The 15,232-nt window shown below is 39.4% G+C and overlaps 1 protein-coding gene across 2 annotated transcripts in view; it reads left to right on the plus strand.

Annotated features, from left to right (window-relative positions):
- Positions 1 to 15,232, plus strand: part of PTPDC1 (protein tyrosine phosphatase domain containing 1) — a 79,044-nt gene that overhangs the window by 31,637 nt on the left and 32,175 nt on the right. For both annotated transcript variants that reach the window (NM_177995.3, NM_001253830.2), the window contains exon 2: positions 2,285 to 2,372. In NM_177995.3, the coding sequence (NP_818931.1) occupies positions 2,291 to 2,372 (82 nt within the window). In that variant the 5' untranslated portion in view covers positions 2,285 to 2,290. The remainder of the gene's footprint in view (positions 1 to 2,284; positions 2,373 to 15,232) is intronic.

Consider the following 15,232-nt stretch of genomic DNA (forward strand, 5'->3'; position numbering starts at 1 on the left):
GTATCTTTATTAGTCCATTCTCGCATTGCTATAAAGAAATACATGAAACTGGGTAATTTCTAAAGAAAAGAGGTCTGATTGCCTCATGGTTCTGCAGGCTGTGCAGGAAGCATGGCAGCATCTGCTTTTGGGGAGGCCTCATGGTGGAAGGCAAAGTGGGAGCAGGAGCAGGAGGAAGGGCGGGGAGGTGCTACACACTTTTAAACAACCAGATATCATGAGAACTCTACCACAACATCAAGGAGATGATGCAAAACCATTCATGAAGGATCCATCCTTATGATCCAGTCATCTCCCACAGGCCCCACCTCCAACACTGGGGAACACAATTTGACATGAGATTTGGGTGGGGACACAGATCCAAACCATATTAGACATGTTTTCGGTAGGCTTTAGGATACAGAGATAAATAAGACGTGAATAGACTCAAGGAACTCAGTCTAATATGGTCCATTTCAGTTTGACAGTTGTGTCACGAGGGTACCTATATACTGGCTTTTCCATTCTCTAGAGACATAAAGGTGAACCAGTCATAACTCATCCTCATGACCCCATGGTCTACAGGGGAGACTGTCAGGTATACATGTTTCATTACATTATAGCTGAAGAGCAAAGAGTGAGGGCAGGGAAAGCTTCACAAAAAAAGTGATGACTGGTCCAAGTTTGTCACCAGCATGCTCTGTCACTCTCCATGCTGTATCATGTGGGACAAGGCAGGACCTTCTCTGGGACATGGTTCATAACTTCTTATATACAAAATAGCCAGGGCTAGCGTCCCAGCTGCTCCAAAATTCCATGATTCTAATATGGTGATAATTGTTTTTCTCATCAAAATGTTTTAAGAAAATAGTCCAAATTTTAAAATATGGTAAAAAATGTTTTATCTAAGTCTAATCTTAATGGATATCCTTTCAAATTAAGTTTTTGCTAATGAATTTCCTGGAACAACTTGTTCCATTAGTCCCTTTACTTAATGTCTTTATGTAACGTTCATTTGAAATACTATGCACATTATAAAATTTTGCATTAATTAGTATGATACCTGGTGTGTGACATTATTAATATTTCAGGAAGCATTCTTTTTAATTTCACTTTAGATCACCCCTGTGATTTTAATTCCTGTATTTCTTTTGAAGGGAAACAGCTTTATCAAATAGGATTTTAGATTTTAAATTTTGTACTTTTTTGAGCGTATAAAGATTGCTTTTAGAAGTAAAATTTTAGTGAACTTGAAATTCTCAAAGAATCACTGAGATTTGAGAAGTGACTTTTTTCTCAGAGGAATGATCCAGTGCACCAAAGAAAAATATTAATTAGGGCTGGATTTAATTACCATTGTAGATTTATTGGTACAAGAATTTCAACAAGTTTTTATTGCCTTTAAATAAAATTCATAGCCATTTAATAAGCTAATAAAAGTATAATATTTGACCTCCCAATAATAGATGTTCAAACCGTAAACATGGTTTTGCCAAGAAAATTATTAAAATCATTATTTAGAAAAAACGTTTGAATCGTGTTATTTTATCTTGTATCACAGTCAACTCCATAAACTTTTCTGGGTTATGTGCTTGCATTTTATGGAAATAGTTTTGTCATTTATAAAATTCCACAACTGAGTTTTGTTTTCATCAATATTTACATTGAGGTACACTTAGGAACTACAAAGTTGAATTACACAGTTGTTTATCTGGAAGCTCAAAAATGTTGAGATCATCTTTATTAGAATTTCTTTCATCCGCAGCTGTGTACTAATTGAAAAAACTGAACTGGAAGCTGAAAGATGGGATTAACTACCACCCTACTACTTAGTGTGTGTTAATCCTACTGACATGACTTCTACCCCTTTAAAATAGGGGATGATAGCTACTTCGTAGAGTTCTTTTTAGAAAAAAGTGACTTAATACTGGTGTCTGGCACATAGAAATAACTTAATAAGTATAATTTTTGGTTTTTTGACATCTAAGAAGATTTAATTAACTTTTCTCAATGGAAACTGTATCATTTGAGCAATACAATAATCTGTTAGCCATGAAATTTAGCATGTGTAATTAATGTAAAAATTATTGAGGTATTTTACATTGTATTTTTTGTGTTAAATTTTCAGCATCTTGTGTGTATTTTACACTTAACAGCACATCTCAACCTGACTAGCCATATTTCAAGTATCTGCCACTTGGCCAGTGACTGCAGCATTGGATAACAAAGGTCTAGCCATATTTTGGGTGATTAATAAATGACTGTCCCAAGGCAAACTTTCAAAAAATAATTTTTTTTCCAACAGACTACCATGGCTGCAGGAGTCTTGCCTCAGAATGAACAACCATATTCTACCTTGGTGAATAACAGCGAGTGTGTTGCAAACATGAAAGGTAATGTCTCTTTAATACACTTTTTGTCTCTCTGTGCAAGCTGGCATTTAATAAAAGTAGCTATATGAATGGACACAAAAGAAAAGGCTCTCTTCTTCATATTGGAATCCCAGGTTGCAAGTATTACTTACTGCCTTACCATCTTGGCCTGTTAGAATTCCTTTTCAAAATCCTGAATAATGGCCTTGGCCTTTTAAGAAGGAGTATTGCAAACAGTGTTTGTCTCCTGCATAATTATCATCAGCTGAGATTATGCATTTGTTCCTATCATCAAAGGCCTACTTATGAATCAAACTTTAATTTTGTTCTCCTTTCATTAGTTGTAAGTGCCACTTAGCACATCCAGAAGCACTCCAGCCCTACTTCTCCCAGTGTCTTTTCTCCCATGCCATTTTGCTTTTTATATGACACCCCAGGCAAGGACAAGTGTCGTGACTTGAACTCTTACTACCACATTTGCCCTTTACTCGTCCTGACCATCACAAGCTCTGAGCTGGGAGCCTCCCTGCTTCTGCTTTAGATATTGCTGGTCTTGCTACCACCACCGGCAGTTAGCCAAGGGAGATGTTAAGTAATTTCTCTTGGCAGTACCACTTGCAGTATTTTCTAACTGCCCCCTTGGGGCTTTGCCCACCTTCACTTTAGTCCTACTGTATGGAGAACTTTGAAGGATTTCTCCCCTAAGTATGGATTAGATGATAGGAAGAAGAGTAAAGGAGTAAGGGTCTAACTAAAGGTATTGAGTTCAACACTTGCTAGGAACAAGTCAGTTCTGTTGTGTTCTTGCTGGAATCTGACCACTCCACCAGGGGGCGTTCTCTCTCATCAAGAAAACCATTGTTTCCCACTTCTCATCTTGTCTAAACTCCGTATGCTTGTAGATACTCCTTCATCTGTCTTTGCTGTGTTTGGCCCTAGAGGCACTAATACTACTGGTAACTACCATTTGTGGACAGCTTCTAGGTGCCAGACTTAATGTGTTAGTTTCCCTGGTCTTAGAAAGAAGTACTGTCTAAAACAAACACAAGAATGATGTCTAGTGGCTGCTTCCCTTCTAGATGTCTAGTGGCTGCTTCCCTTCTAGAATAATGTTTCTTTCCCCCTGAGTAACTCTTCAGCCAACAAGTCTGAGTCAGACAAACCTTTTTCCCTTTTCTTTCTTCTGTTGTAAATGTTACCTCTTAGTTGGTGTTTCTCAATGGCAATTCTGTTGGCTTTGCGGGTGGGACAACTCTTTGTTGTGCTGGAGAGCTCTGAGCACCTAAGACATATAGCATCTCTGACCCCTACCACTAAATCCAGTAGCATCCCCAGGTTCCAGTGACAATGAAAAAACCCGGCATATTTCCAAATACCCCCAGGAAGGTTGTACCACCTGTATTGTGATCCACTAGGTATGCTGATTTTTACCTTTCCAAAAAACATTTTTTAATTAAAATTTTCCTCTTAGTATAAATGCAGCTAATTTTTAATTAGGAAAAAATCTAGACAAATAACATCTGCTTTATAGCTAATTTTATTAAAGCATATCTCATCTATAAAGATAGTTATACTTTATTATGTTTGTGGATGGGAAGTATTTTTTTAAATGTTATATAATGATTCATGGGAAAATTTAATTGGGGGGATACATAAAGTATTTATTTTTAAAGGAAAACAGAAAACTTATCAAGAAGTAGCTGTGGAGTGAGACAGAACTAGAGTTAAATCTTGATTCTACTACTTAAAAAAAATTTACTTTTTTTTTATTTTTTGAGATGGCGTCTCACTCTGTTGCCTAGGCTGGAGGGCAGTGATGCAATCTTGGCTCACTGCAGCCTCCGCCTCTCAGGTTCAAGAGATTCTCCTGTCTCAGCCTCCTGAGTAGCTGGGACCACAGGTGCATGCCACCACGCCCGGCTCATTTTTGTGTTTTTAGTAGAGATGGGGTTTCACCATGTTGGCCAGGCTGGTTTTGAACTCCTGACCTCAAATGACCCGCCTGCCTCAGCCTCCCAAACTGCTGCGATTACAGAAGTGAGCCACCATGCCCGGCCATAAAAAAATTAAAAAATAAAAAATAAAAAAACTTTTATTACAGAAAATTTCAAACACAAAAGTATACAGAATAAAATAAAGATCCCCATATTTGTATCATCCCCCATATATGCATCATCCCTCAAATATGTACCATAACCCAGCTTTAACAATCTCAGCCACTCACTTCTCTCACTCAGTTCCCTGCATCAGTATTACTTTGAAGCAAACTCAAGGCATCGCGTCATTTTGTTAAATAACCACATCATTGGCTGGGCGCGGTAGCTCACGCCTGTAATCTCAGCACTTTGGGACACTGAGGTGGGTGGATCATAAGATCAGGAGTTCGAGACCAGCCTGGCCAATATGGTGAAACCCCATCTCTACTAAAAATACAAAAAAATTAGCCGAGCATGGTGGCGTATGCCTGTAATCCCAGCTACTCGAGAGGCTGAGGCAGGAGAATTGCTTGAACCCGGGAGGTAGAGGTTGCAGGGAGCCAAGATCATGTCACTGCATTCCAGCCTGGGTGACAGAGTGAGACTCCATCTCAAAAAAAAAAAATAATAATAATAATAATAAACCACATTATTACTACCATACCTCAAATAATCAACATTATTTACTTGATATCATCAAATATCTAAACAGTGTTCAATTTTCTAATTGTCTTATAGATATACCATAGATATAATTATACATGTATATATTGTGTGTGTATAATTTGTTTGAATTGGGATCCAAAAAAAGTCAATACATTGTAATTGGTTGCTATTTAGCTTCAATCTCTTTTCTTTTTTGTCTCCCAGGCTGGAGTGCAGTGGCACCATCTCAGCTCCCTGTAACCTCTGCCTCCCAAGTTCAAGCGATTCTCATGTTTCAGCCTCCCGAGTAGCTGGGATTACAGGCATGCGCCACCATGCCTGGCTAATTTTTGTTTTCTTAGTAGAGACAGGGTTTAGCCATATTGGCCAGGCTGGTCTCAAACTCCTGGCCTCAGGTGATCCACCTACCACAGCCTCTGAAAGTGTTAGGATTACAGGCGTGAGCTACCGTGCCCGGCTTTCAATCTCTTTTAAACTTGGGCTTCCCTCTGTCTCTTTTTCCTTACAGTTTATTTGTTGGAGAAAACAGGTTTTTTTGCCTTGTGGAGTTTGCCACAACCTGTATTTTGCTGATAATATCGACATGATATTTTCTATAAATTGGTAGATAGATGTAGAGTCTAGTCAGATTTTTTTTAATTAACAAGACTGTTTCATGGGCAGTGCTATATTCCTCCCTCAGGATGCCCAGGCTGTATGATTGTCTTGCTTTTTGTGATGTTAATTTTTTTATTTTGAAATAATTTCAAACTTACAGTAAAGGTACAAGAAAAGCACACAAAAGAACTCCTACATTCTGTTCACTCAGAGACCCCCATTCAAGTTTTGTCAGCAGTCCCAATAATATCCTTTAATAGGAAAATGATTCTGGTAATGTTTTTTAAATCCCTTTCAAAGGCCCTAGTCACTCCTTTCTTGACCTTTATGACCTTAACATTTTTTAAGATTATAGACAATTTTTTTTTTGTAACATGTTCCTCAGTTTGGGTTTGTCTGCTGTTTCCTCATGATAAGACTGAGATTATGCATTTTTGGTAGAAGGGTCACAGATAACACAAGATGTCATTTTGCCCCGTCACTGGTTATGTTTAGTTTGATCACATCAGTAAAGTGGTGTCTGCCAAAGTTTATCCATTATAAATTATTCTTTCTCCCCTCATAGTTAATATTTTAAGGAGAGATGATTTCAGACTACGTAAATATCCTGTTCCACATCCAACTTTTACCTAGCAGTTTTAGCATCTATTGCTGTTTCTTGCCTGAATTAATTATTACTGTGATAGATAACTGGAGATTTTCTTCGCCTGCCCAACCCTCCGATAACTGGAGATTTTCTAATTTCATTATTCCTTCTGTTTTTATTAGTTAGCATTCTAGTGTAAGGAAGAATTTCCCATTATTTGTTCGATTATTTATTTATTTAGCGTGGATTCCTATTTTGTTCAGTGGATTGTAATCCTTTACTATGATTTATTTGGATGCTTCAGTTTCCCCATATTTGGACAGTAAGAACCCCATCAAGCTGTTTACAATGTCCATTTTACATGTCCCCACCATTCCTATATTCCTCACTCTCTGGCACAGCAAGATCTTCCAGCTCATTTTATTCTCTTCTTGCCCTGGCCCAGAAATCAGCCATTTCTTCAAGGAGCCTTGGTTCTTTTTAGTAGGAAATATAACCAAGATCTGGTATGCTCACTACTACTGGTATATCATGATTCCCAACCCCTTTTAGGGGACAAAGCTGGGAAATATGTGTTCATACATATACATATGTACCTGTCCATTTTTACGGGTACAGTCATCCCTCCTTGTACACAGGGGATTGGTTCCAGGACCCTCCCACCCCCGGTATACCAAATCCATGCATACTCAAGTCTCACAGTCTCCTCTGTGGTACCCACCCATACTAAAGGGTTTTGCATCTTGCATATACTGTATTTTCAGTACCTTTTGGTTGATAAAAATCTGCATATAAGTGGACCAGCTCAGTTAAAACCTCAAGAGTCAACTGTATATTTATTTCTGTTTCTGTCTATATATATTGAAAACCACAAGTTCACTTTGGTACTTCCAATTCTTTTTTTTTTTTTTTTTGGACAGAGTCTCGCTCTGTTTCCCAGGCTGGAGTGCAGTGGTGCAATCTCTGCTCACTGTAACCTCCGCCTCCTCTGTTTAAGCAATTCTCCTGCCTCAGCCTCCCAAGTAGCTTGGATTACAGGCACCCGCCACTGCGCCCAGCTAATTTTTTTAGTAGAGACGGGGTTTCACCATGTTGGCCAGGCTGGTCTTGAACTCCTGACCTCAAGTAATCTGCCTGCTTCAACCTCCCAAAGTGCTGGGATTATAGGCGTGAGCCACCATGCCCAGCCAATACTTTCTTTTTTTTTTTTTTTTTTTGAGACGGAGTCTCGCTCTGTCGCCCAGGCTGGAGTGCAGTGGCACAGTCTTGGCTCATTGCAACCTCCGCCTCCCGGGTTCACGCCATTCTCCTGCCTCAGCCTCCCGAGTAGCTGGGACTACAGGCGCCCGCCACCACGCCCGGCTAATTTTTTGTATTTCTAGTAGAGATGGGGTTTCACCGGTTAGCCAGGATGGTCTGGATCTCCTGACCTCGTGATCCGCCCGCCTCTGCCTCCCAAAGTGCTGGGATTACAGGCATGAGCCACCACGCCTGGCCAATACTTTCAATTCTAATCCATTATTACACCATCTTTATAGCTGTTCCCATTTATAATTATGTAAGAATGAGAAACCTGGCTCTTATTATCCCCAGTATGTTTGCTTATTTACTCAGCCGTACTTTTCCTAACCAGTCTCTCAACCCTGCCAGGCCATCACCCAACTCGGCTGTATTTTCCACACAGGGCCCGTACCCTGCCAGGCCCCACAGCATATGCCATGCACCCTACTATTTGCCTGCCTTGTGTTGCCCTGACCTTTGCTGGATGACCCTTGCTTAGGCTTTATGTATGGCTCTTTCTCTTTGATTATATATACATTTTTAATTAAAATATTGAGATAATTGTACATTCACATGCAAATATAAGAAATAATACAGAGGAATCATATTTACCCTTTATCCAGTTTCCACCAATAGTAGCAGCTTGAAAAACTATTGTGTAATAATAATATCACAGCCAGGATATTGACATTGTTTTGGTCAAAATACAGAACAGTTCCATCAACACAGGATCCCTCCTACTTCCTTTATAGTTAAACCCACCTACACTCCTAACTCTGGCCTGTGGCAACCACTATCTGTTCCCCAGTTCTATAATTTTGTCATCGCAAAAATGTTATGTATATAAAATCATACAGTATGTAACCTTTTAGGAGTGACTTTTTTCAGTCAGCCTAATTCCTTTGAGTTTCATCCAGGTTGTTGTGTGTACCAATAGTTGAGTCCTTTTTATTGCTGAGTAGTATTCCGTGGTATGGATGTACCACAGTGTGTTTATCAGTTCATTCACTGAAGGGTGTCTGGATTCTTTCCAGTTTGGGGCTATTATGAATAAAGCTGCTGTAAACATTCATGTACAGATTTTTGTGTGTAGATGGGTTTTTATTACTTTGGGATAAATACCCAAGAATTTACTTTCTAGGTCATATGATAGTTGCATGTTTGACTTTATATGAAACCGCCAAACTGTTTTCCAGAGTAGTTGTACCATTTTACATTCCTACCAGCAATGTACGAGTGATCAAGTTTCTCTACATCCTCACCAGCATTAGGTTTTATCAGTATTTATTTTAGCCATTAGAGCAGTTCTATAGTGGTGTCTTTTGTGGTTTTAATTTGCATTTCCTTAATGGCTAATGATGATAACCTCTTTTCATGTGCTTATCTGCCATCTGCATATTCTCTTTTTACATATCTGTGCATGTCTTTTATCCACTATTTTTTTTTACTGTTGAGTTTTAAGAGTTCTTTATATACTCTAGATACTAGATCTTGCTCTGATACGTGGTTTGCAGATACATTCTCCCACTCTGTAACTTACCTTTCCATTTCTTCATATGATCTTTCTCTGAGAAAAAGTTTTTAATTTTCATGAAGTCCAATTATTCTTTTATGGATTACACTTTTGCTGTCAAGTCTTCAGAACTTTTCATCTATCCCAGTGCCCTGAAGCTATGTGAATGTGTTTGTAGATTCACTGTTGGGTTTCACTGATCTATATATCTGTCCATCCACCAATACCACCCTGTCATGAATACTGTAGTTATGTAATAGGCCTAGTATTGGATAGAGTGATTCTTCCCACTTACCCTCTTTTTCAGGATCATCTTAGATAGGACCTGTGACTTTAAATAAGCTTATTTATGTCAGCAAAAAATATTACTGGGATTTTTATAAGAATTAAATTTGTAAATCAATTTGAGGAGATTGCCATCTTTACTTTGTTGCATCTTCTAATTTATAATCACGTTTCTCTTTTTTTATATCTTTGATTTATTTCATCAGAATTTTATAATTTTCAGCATACAGATTCATACATGTTTTAAGTTTATACTTAAGTATTTCATTTTCTTTGGGGAGATTTTAACTGGTATTGTGGTTTTTTTGTTTGTTTGTTTTGAGATGGAGTTTCACTCTGTTGCCCAGGATGGGAGTGCAGTGGCATGAACTCAGCTCACTGTAACCTCCACCTCCCAGATTCAAGCAATTCTCCTGCCTCAGCCTCCTGAGTAGCTGGGATTACAGGCGCCTGCCACCACGCCCAGCTAATTTTTGTATTTTTAGCAGAGACGGTTTCGCCATGTTGCCCAGGCTGGTCTCAAACTCCTGACTTCAGGTGATCTGCCCGCCTTGGCCTTGCAAAGTGCTGGGATTATAGGCATGAGCCACCACACCTGGCCTAGGTATTGTGTTTTTAAATGCAGTTTCCACATGTTTTTTGTTTGTGTATAGAAATGCAATTGATTTTTGTATGTTGATTTTATGCCTTACTACTTTGCTGAACTCACTTTCCATTCTGGGAAGTTTTTGGTGATTCCTTGGGATTTTCTTACATAAACAATCATGTCTGCAAATAAGGACAGTTCTATTTCCTCTTTTCCAATTCATATGCTGTTATTTTTTTTTTCTTGCCTTATCATAGTAGCCTAAAACTTCTACCAAGCAGAATAAGAGTCACAAGAGCAGAGTCTTTGCCTTCTTCCTGACCATAGGGAGAAGGCATTCAGTCTTTCACCTTTCAGTATGATGTTAGCAGCAAGTTTTCCATAACAAGTTGAATTAGTTCCCCTCTATTCTTAACTTGCTGAGAGTTTTTATCATGAGTCAGTGTTGAATTTTTTTATCTAATGCTTTTTCTGTGTTAATTGATATGATCATATGATTTTTCTTCTTTAGCCTGTTGGTGTGGTGGATTATATTGATTGATTTTTTAATGTTAAACCAGCCTGTACCTATAATAAATTTCATTTGGTAGTGGTGTATAATTCTTTTTATGCATTGCTGGATTTGATTTGCTCGTATTTTGTTGAGGATTTTTTTCCTAAGTTCAGGATTGATGTGGGACTATAGTTTTCTCTTTTTGTACTCTCTTTATCTGCTTTTGGTATCAGGGTAATGTTAGCCCCATAAAAGGAGGTGGGAAATGTTCCTTCTTCTATTTTCTGGAAGGCATTGTGGAAAATTGGTGCCCATTCTTCTTTAAATGTTCGGTAGCATTCTCCAGTGACGTCATTTAAGCCAGGAGATTTCTTTTGGGGAACTTTTTGTTTATTAATTCAATTTCTTTAATTTTTATAGAACTGTTCAGGTTGTCTCATTCATCTTGGTTGAGTCTTGGTAGTTGGCAGTGTTCAAGGATTTGATCCATTTCTTCTAAGTTGTCAAATTTATGTCAACAATTTCTAATTTGTTTGTATTAGTTCCTTGTTATCCTTTAAATGGATGCCAGATCTGTAGTGATAGCTCCTGTTTCACTCCTGATATGGGTGATTTGTGTCTTTTTTTTATTTTTGTCAGTCTTGCCAGATCTGTAGTGATAGCTGTGTTTCATTCCTGATATGGGTGATTTGTGTCTTTTTAAAATTTTTGTCAGTCTTGCTAGAGGTTTATCAATTTTATTAATTTTCTTCACAGAGCCAGCTTCTTATATCACTGATTTGCACTGTTGTTTTCCATTTTTAATCTTACTGACTTATGTTCTTATTTTTATCTGTCCAATGCTTGTTTTGTGTGTGCTTTGCTCTCATTTTTCTAGTTTACTTAGGTTGAAATCTGTATTACTAATTTGAGATCTTTCCTCTCCTCTAACATAAGCATTAAGTGATAGAAATTTCTTACAAATCTCTGCTTTACCACCATCTTATATATATTTTGATATATTTTCATTTTATTCAGTTCTGTGTGTTTTGTAATTTCCTTTGAGACTTCCTATTTGACTCATGATTTATTTATAAGTTTGACGTTCAATTTCCCAAGTCTTTGGAGTTTTTCCTGCTGTCTTTCTGTTATCGATTTCTAGTTTGATTTCATTGTGGGCAGAGAACATTCTCTGTATGATTCCAGTTATTCTAGGAATCAGTGCCAAGACACATTATAATTAAAGTCCTTATTGGAAATTTTCAGCATATCATTTATCTCCATTTTGATGTCTGTTGATTGTTTCTTATGATTCAAGTTGTGATTTTCCTCATTCTTGGTATGACAAGTGATTTTCAACTGTATTCTGGACATTTTGGGTCCTTTTCTTTCTCGCTTGTCAGGCAGTGTTCTTCTTGAAGCATTAGCCAGGAGCCAGGTGAGTGTATATGCCCAGCTCCCTGTTCAGCCTCACTGACACCACCCCAACAAAAGTTGGGTGCTTCGAAACACTGCCTCAGTCCAGATGACGAAGTGGAATTTCAGCTCTCTCACCAGTTCTGTTTGACATCTTTGTGGTAAAAGTGGAACATTGCCTTGCACTGTCATGTTGCCTTTGAGTCGGGGGGATAAGATCAGCAACATGAGAAAAAACAAATCTGGGCCCCACTGCCACCTAGGAAGAAGTAGAGGGCAACTCACACTGCTTTGTTTCTGCAAGGTGTGACTGAAGCTCATTCCCGGCTGGGCCCTGTGGTCCTCAGGGGAGGAGAAGGTGGAAAGTGTAATGCCAAGCCTCCCACTCCCCACCACCTCTTTCCTCCTCATACAGGTGGAGTTGGGAGTTCAGCTCCCCACTGGACCCCATTGACACCAGGGGATTGGGAAATGGGAATGTTGACTATCCTGCTTCACACCCCCTCATTCTGCTTCATTGATGGCAAATGAGTGTGGAGGCTCAGCTCCCCTTGAAGCTCCCCTGTTGCTTGGGGCAGCAGCAGCAGGGACGTGAATACCAACTAGTCTTTCCTCCTACTGCACTGTTCAGTCTTGTGGACGCCAATTGAATGTGGAGGTTTGTCTCCCCACTGGGCCTCACTAAGATGAAAGTTATGGGGAAAGTAGAGTGTTTACAGGCCCCCACTTGCACAGCTTTGTTCAGTGTCCTTGATGATGGATGAGAACGAAGGTTCAGGTCTCCACTGGGTCCCACTTACGTAGAGGCAGGTGGTGAGCCTGGTATTGACTAATCCCACTTCAAACCACCCTGTTAAGACTGGTTACTGCTGGATGAGGCACAGCTCACAGATAGACCCCAATGACACCACCCTGGCAGAGGAACTGCAGCACTGCCCATTTCTATCTGATGGGGGGAATCATCTTTCTGCTCAGGTCACCACCACCACCCAGCAGGGGAATCAGAGTGCCACCTGCTTCTTCCAATTGGGGTATGGAAAATTAGCTCCCTGATCAGCCCCAAAACCACCCAGTGGGGGAATCAGAGCACCACATGGTCCTTCTAGACACAGTAGAAGATGAGATCCATGTTTATCTCTCCGACACCACCTGATGGGAGAAGTAGATTGATTCCACTTCTGCAGAGCAGGAGTATTTGATAGATGATCAGCTCCCTCTCCATCCTCTCTGAAACTGGGGGTTGGAAGATGATGTGGCATTTTTAACTGGAGTAGCGTGGGTATTGCCAAAAATATATTCAGTCGTTAGGTCACATATTCCACAGACCTTTGGCAAAGGGGGACAGGCTTTTCTTATAGCTTGTTCTGGGTTGAAGGCTTCTGCAGCACCCTATTGGGGATATACTGGAGGCAATAAAGAATCCCAGGTAGCTCACAGCCATACTGTTCCTCAAGTCCTGAGGTCCTTAGACAGTCTCTCACTCTCAGAGTCTTCCTATGTTTATCTGTTCTATTGTGTCCAGAGTTTCTAAGACGTAAGGATGAGGAATGGGGCAACTCTACTTGGACAGAAACAGAAGTCTGCCTAGTAGCTTTTTGCTTTATTAAGGAAAGGAGAGCAGGAAGGAGGGAGAAAGGGAGAATTTCCTTTAACTTTTTTGAGGTATAATTATCAATAATTCACCCATTTAAAGTACCAATCCAGTGTTTTTAGAACATTCAAAGAGCTATGTAACCAACACAAAGTCAGTTTTGGAAGATTATTATCACCCCAAAAAGAAACCTTGTGCTTTTTTGTTTTGGTGTGTGTGTGTGTTTTGTTTGTTTGTTTGTTTTTTTGAGACGGAGTTTCGCTCTTGTTGCCCAGGCTGCAGTGCAGTGGCATGATCTTGGCTCACTGCAACCTCTGTCTCCCAGTTTTCAAGCAATTCTTCTGCCTCAGCCTCTCAAGTAGCTGGGATTACAAGCGCATGCTACCGCACCCAGCTAATTTTGTATTTTTCATGGAGACAGGGTTTCACCATGTTGGTCAGGCTGGCTGGTCTCTAACTCCCGGCCTCAGGTAATCCACCTGCCTCAGCCTCCCAAAGTGCTGGGATTACAGGCGTGACCCACTACGCCTGGCCACTTTGTACTCTTTAGCAAGCACCAGCTGCCATTTGTTGTTTCCCTCCCCACTGGCCCAAGGAGCCACCAGACTACTTTCTGTCTCTATAGATTTCATTTTTTCTGGACATTTCATATAAATGGAACCATATAAATATGTGGTCTTTTGTGATTGGCTTTTTTCACTTAGCATAATGTTTTCAAGGTTCATCCATGTTGTAGCATGCGTCAGTGCTGCTTCCTTTTTATGGTTGAATAATTTTCCATTGTGTAGATATTTATTTATCTACACATTCCATTTATCCATTCCCCTGATGGGCATTTGGACTCTTTTCACTTTTTGGCTATTATGAGTAATAATAAAACCTGAGTTTTTGTGTGGACATATGTTTTCATTTTTCTTGGGTATTTACCTAGGAGGAAAGAACTGGGTCATATGGTAACTCTGTTTAATCATTTGAGGAACTGCCAGACCATTTTCCAAAGTGTTTGCTTCATTTTATTTACCCACCAGCAGTAGATAAGGGCTCTCATTTTTTTTTACATCCCCATTGATACTTATTATTGTCGGGCATTTGATTGTAGCCATCCTAGTAGGTATGAAGTGATATTTCATTGTGATTTTAATATGCATTTCCCTAATGACTAGTGATGTTGAGCATCTTTTCATGTATTTATTGAAACTTTCTACATCTTTTTTGGAGAAATGCCCACTCAAATTATTTGCCCTTTTTAAATTATTGAGATATAAGTCACATACCATAAAATTGAACCTTTTAAAGTAGTCATTGGTTTTTAGTATATACTTAAGGCTGTGCAGTCATCAACACTATTTAAATCCAGACTATTTTCATCAGACCAAAAAGAAATGTTCTACCAATTAGCACTTGAGAATACAGAATAATAAGCAAACTCAGTTTATCCTGCTACACTCTCATAACATGTTTCTGACACCAGATGTGCGGGGTTTTTTCCACACACCAAACAAGCAATAAATTCTGCAGGGGACTCCAGATGGGTGTCCTCCAATTTAATTCTGACATTATCTACCTAGAGATAGTGTCAGATCCAACAGGTTGAGGGCTAAGTCTTATAAGATTGCCTCCTACTTCTGATGCCAGTCACAAGCCCCAGCTTGTTTAACCTGTGCTTCTGACTGACTGGCTATAAATTGGGGTTCCCACACCCCTCTCTTTGGATTTCATTAATTTGCTATAGTGGCTAACAGTACTCTAGGAAACACATTTACCAATTTATTATAAAGGCTGTTACAAAGGATGGAGATGAAGAGATGCATAAGGGTGACATATGGTGGAAGAGGCACAGAGCATCCATGCTGACCCCAAGTGTGCCACCCTCCAGCAACCTCCATGTTCTCAGCTCTTTGAACCCTATCCT

This window comes from Homo sapiens, chromosome 9, assembly GCF_000001405.40.
Source record: "Homo sapiens chromosome 9, GRCh38.p14 Primary Assembly".
Classification (NCBI taxonomy): Eukaryota; Metazoa; Chordata; class Mammalia; order Primates; family Hominidae; genus Homo; species Homo sapiens.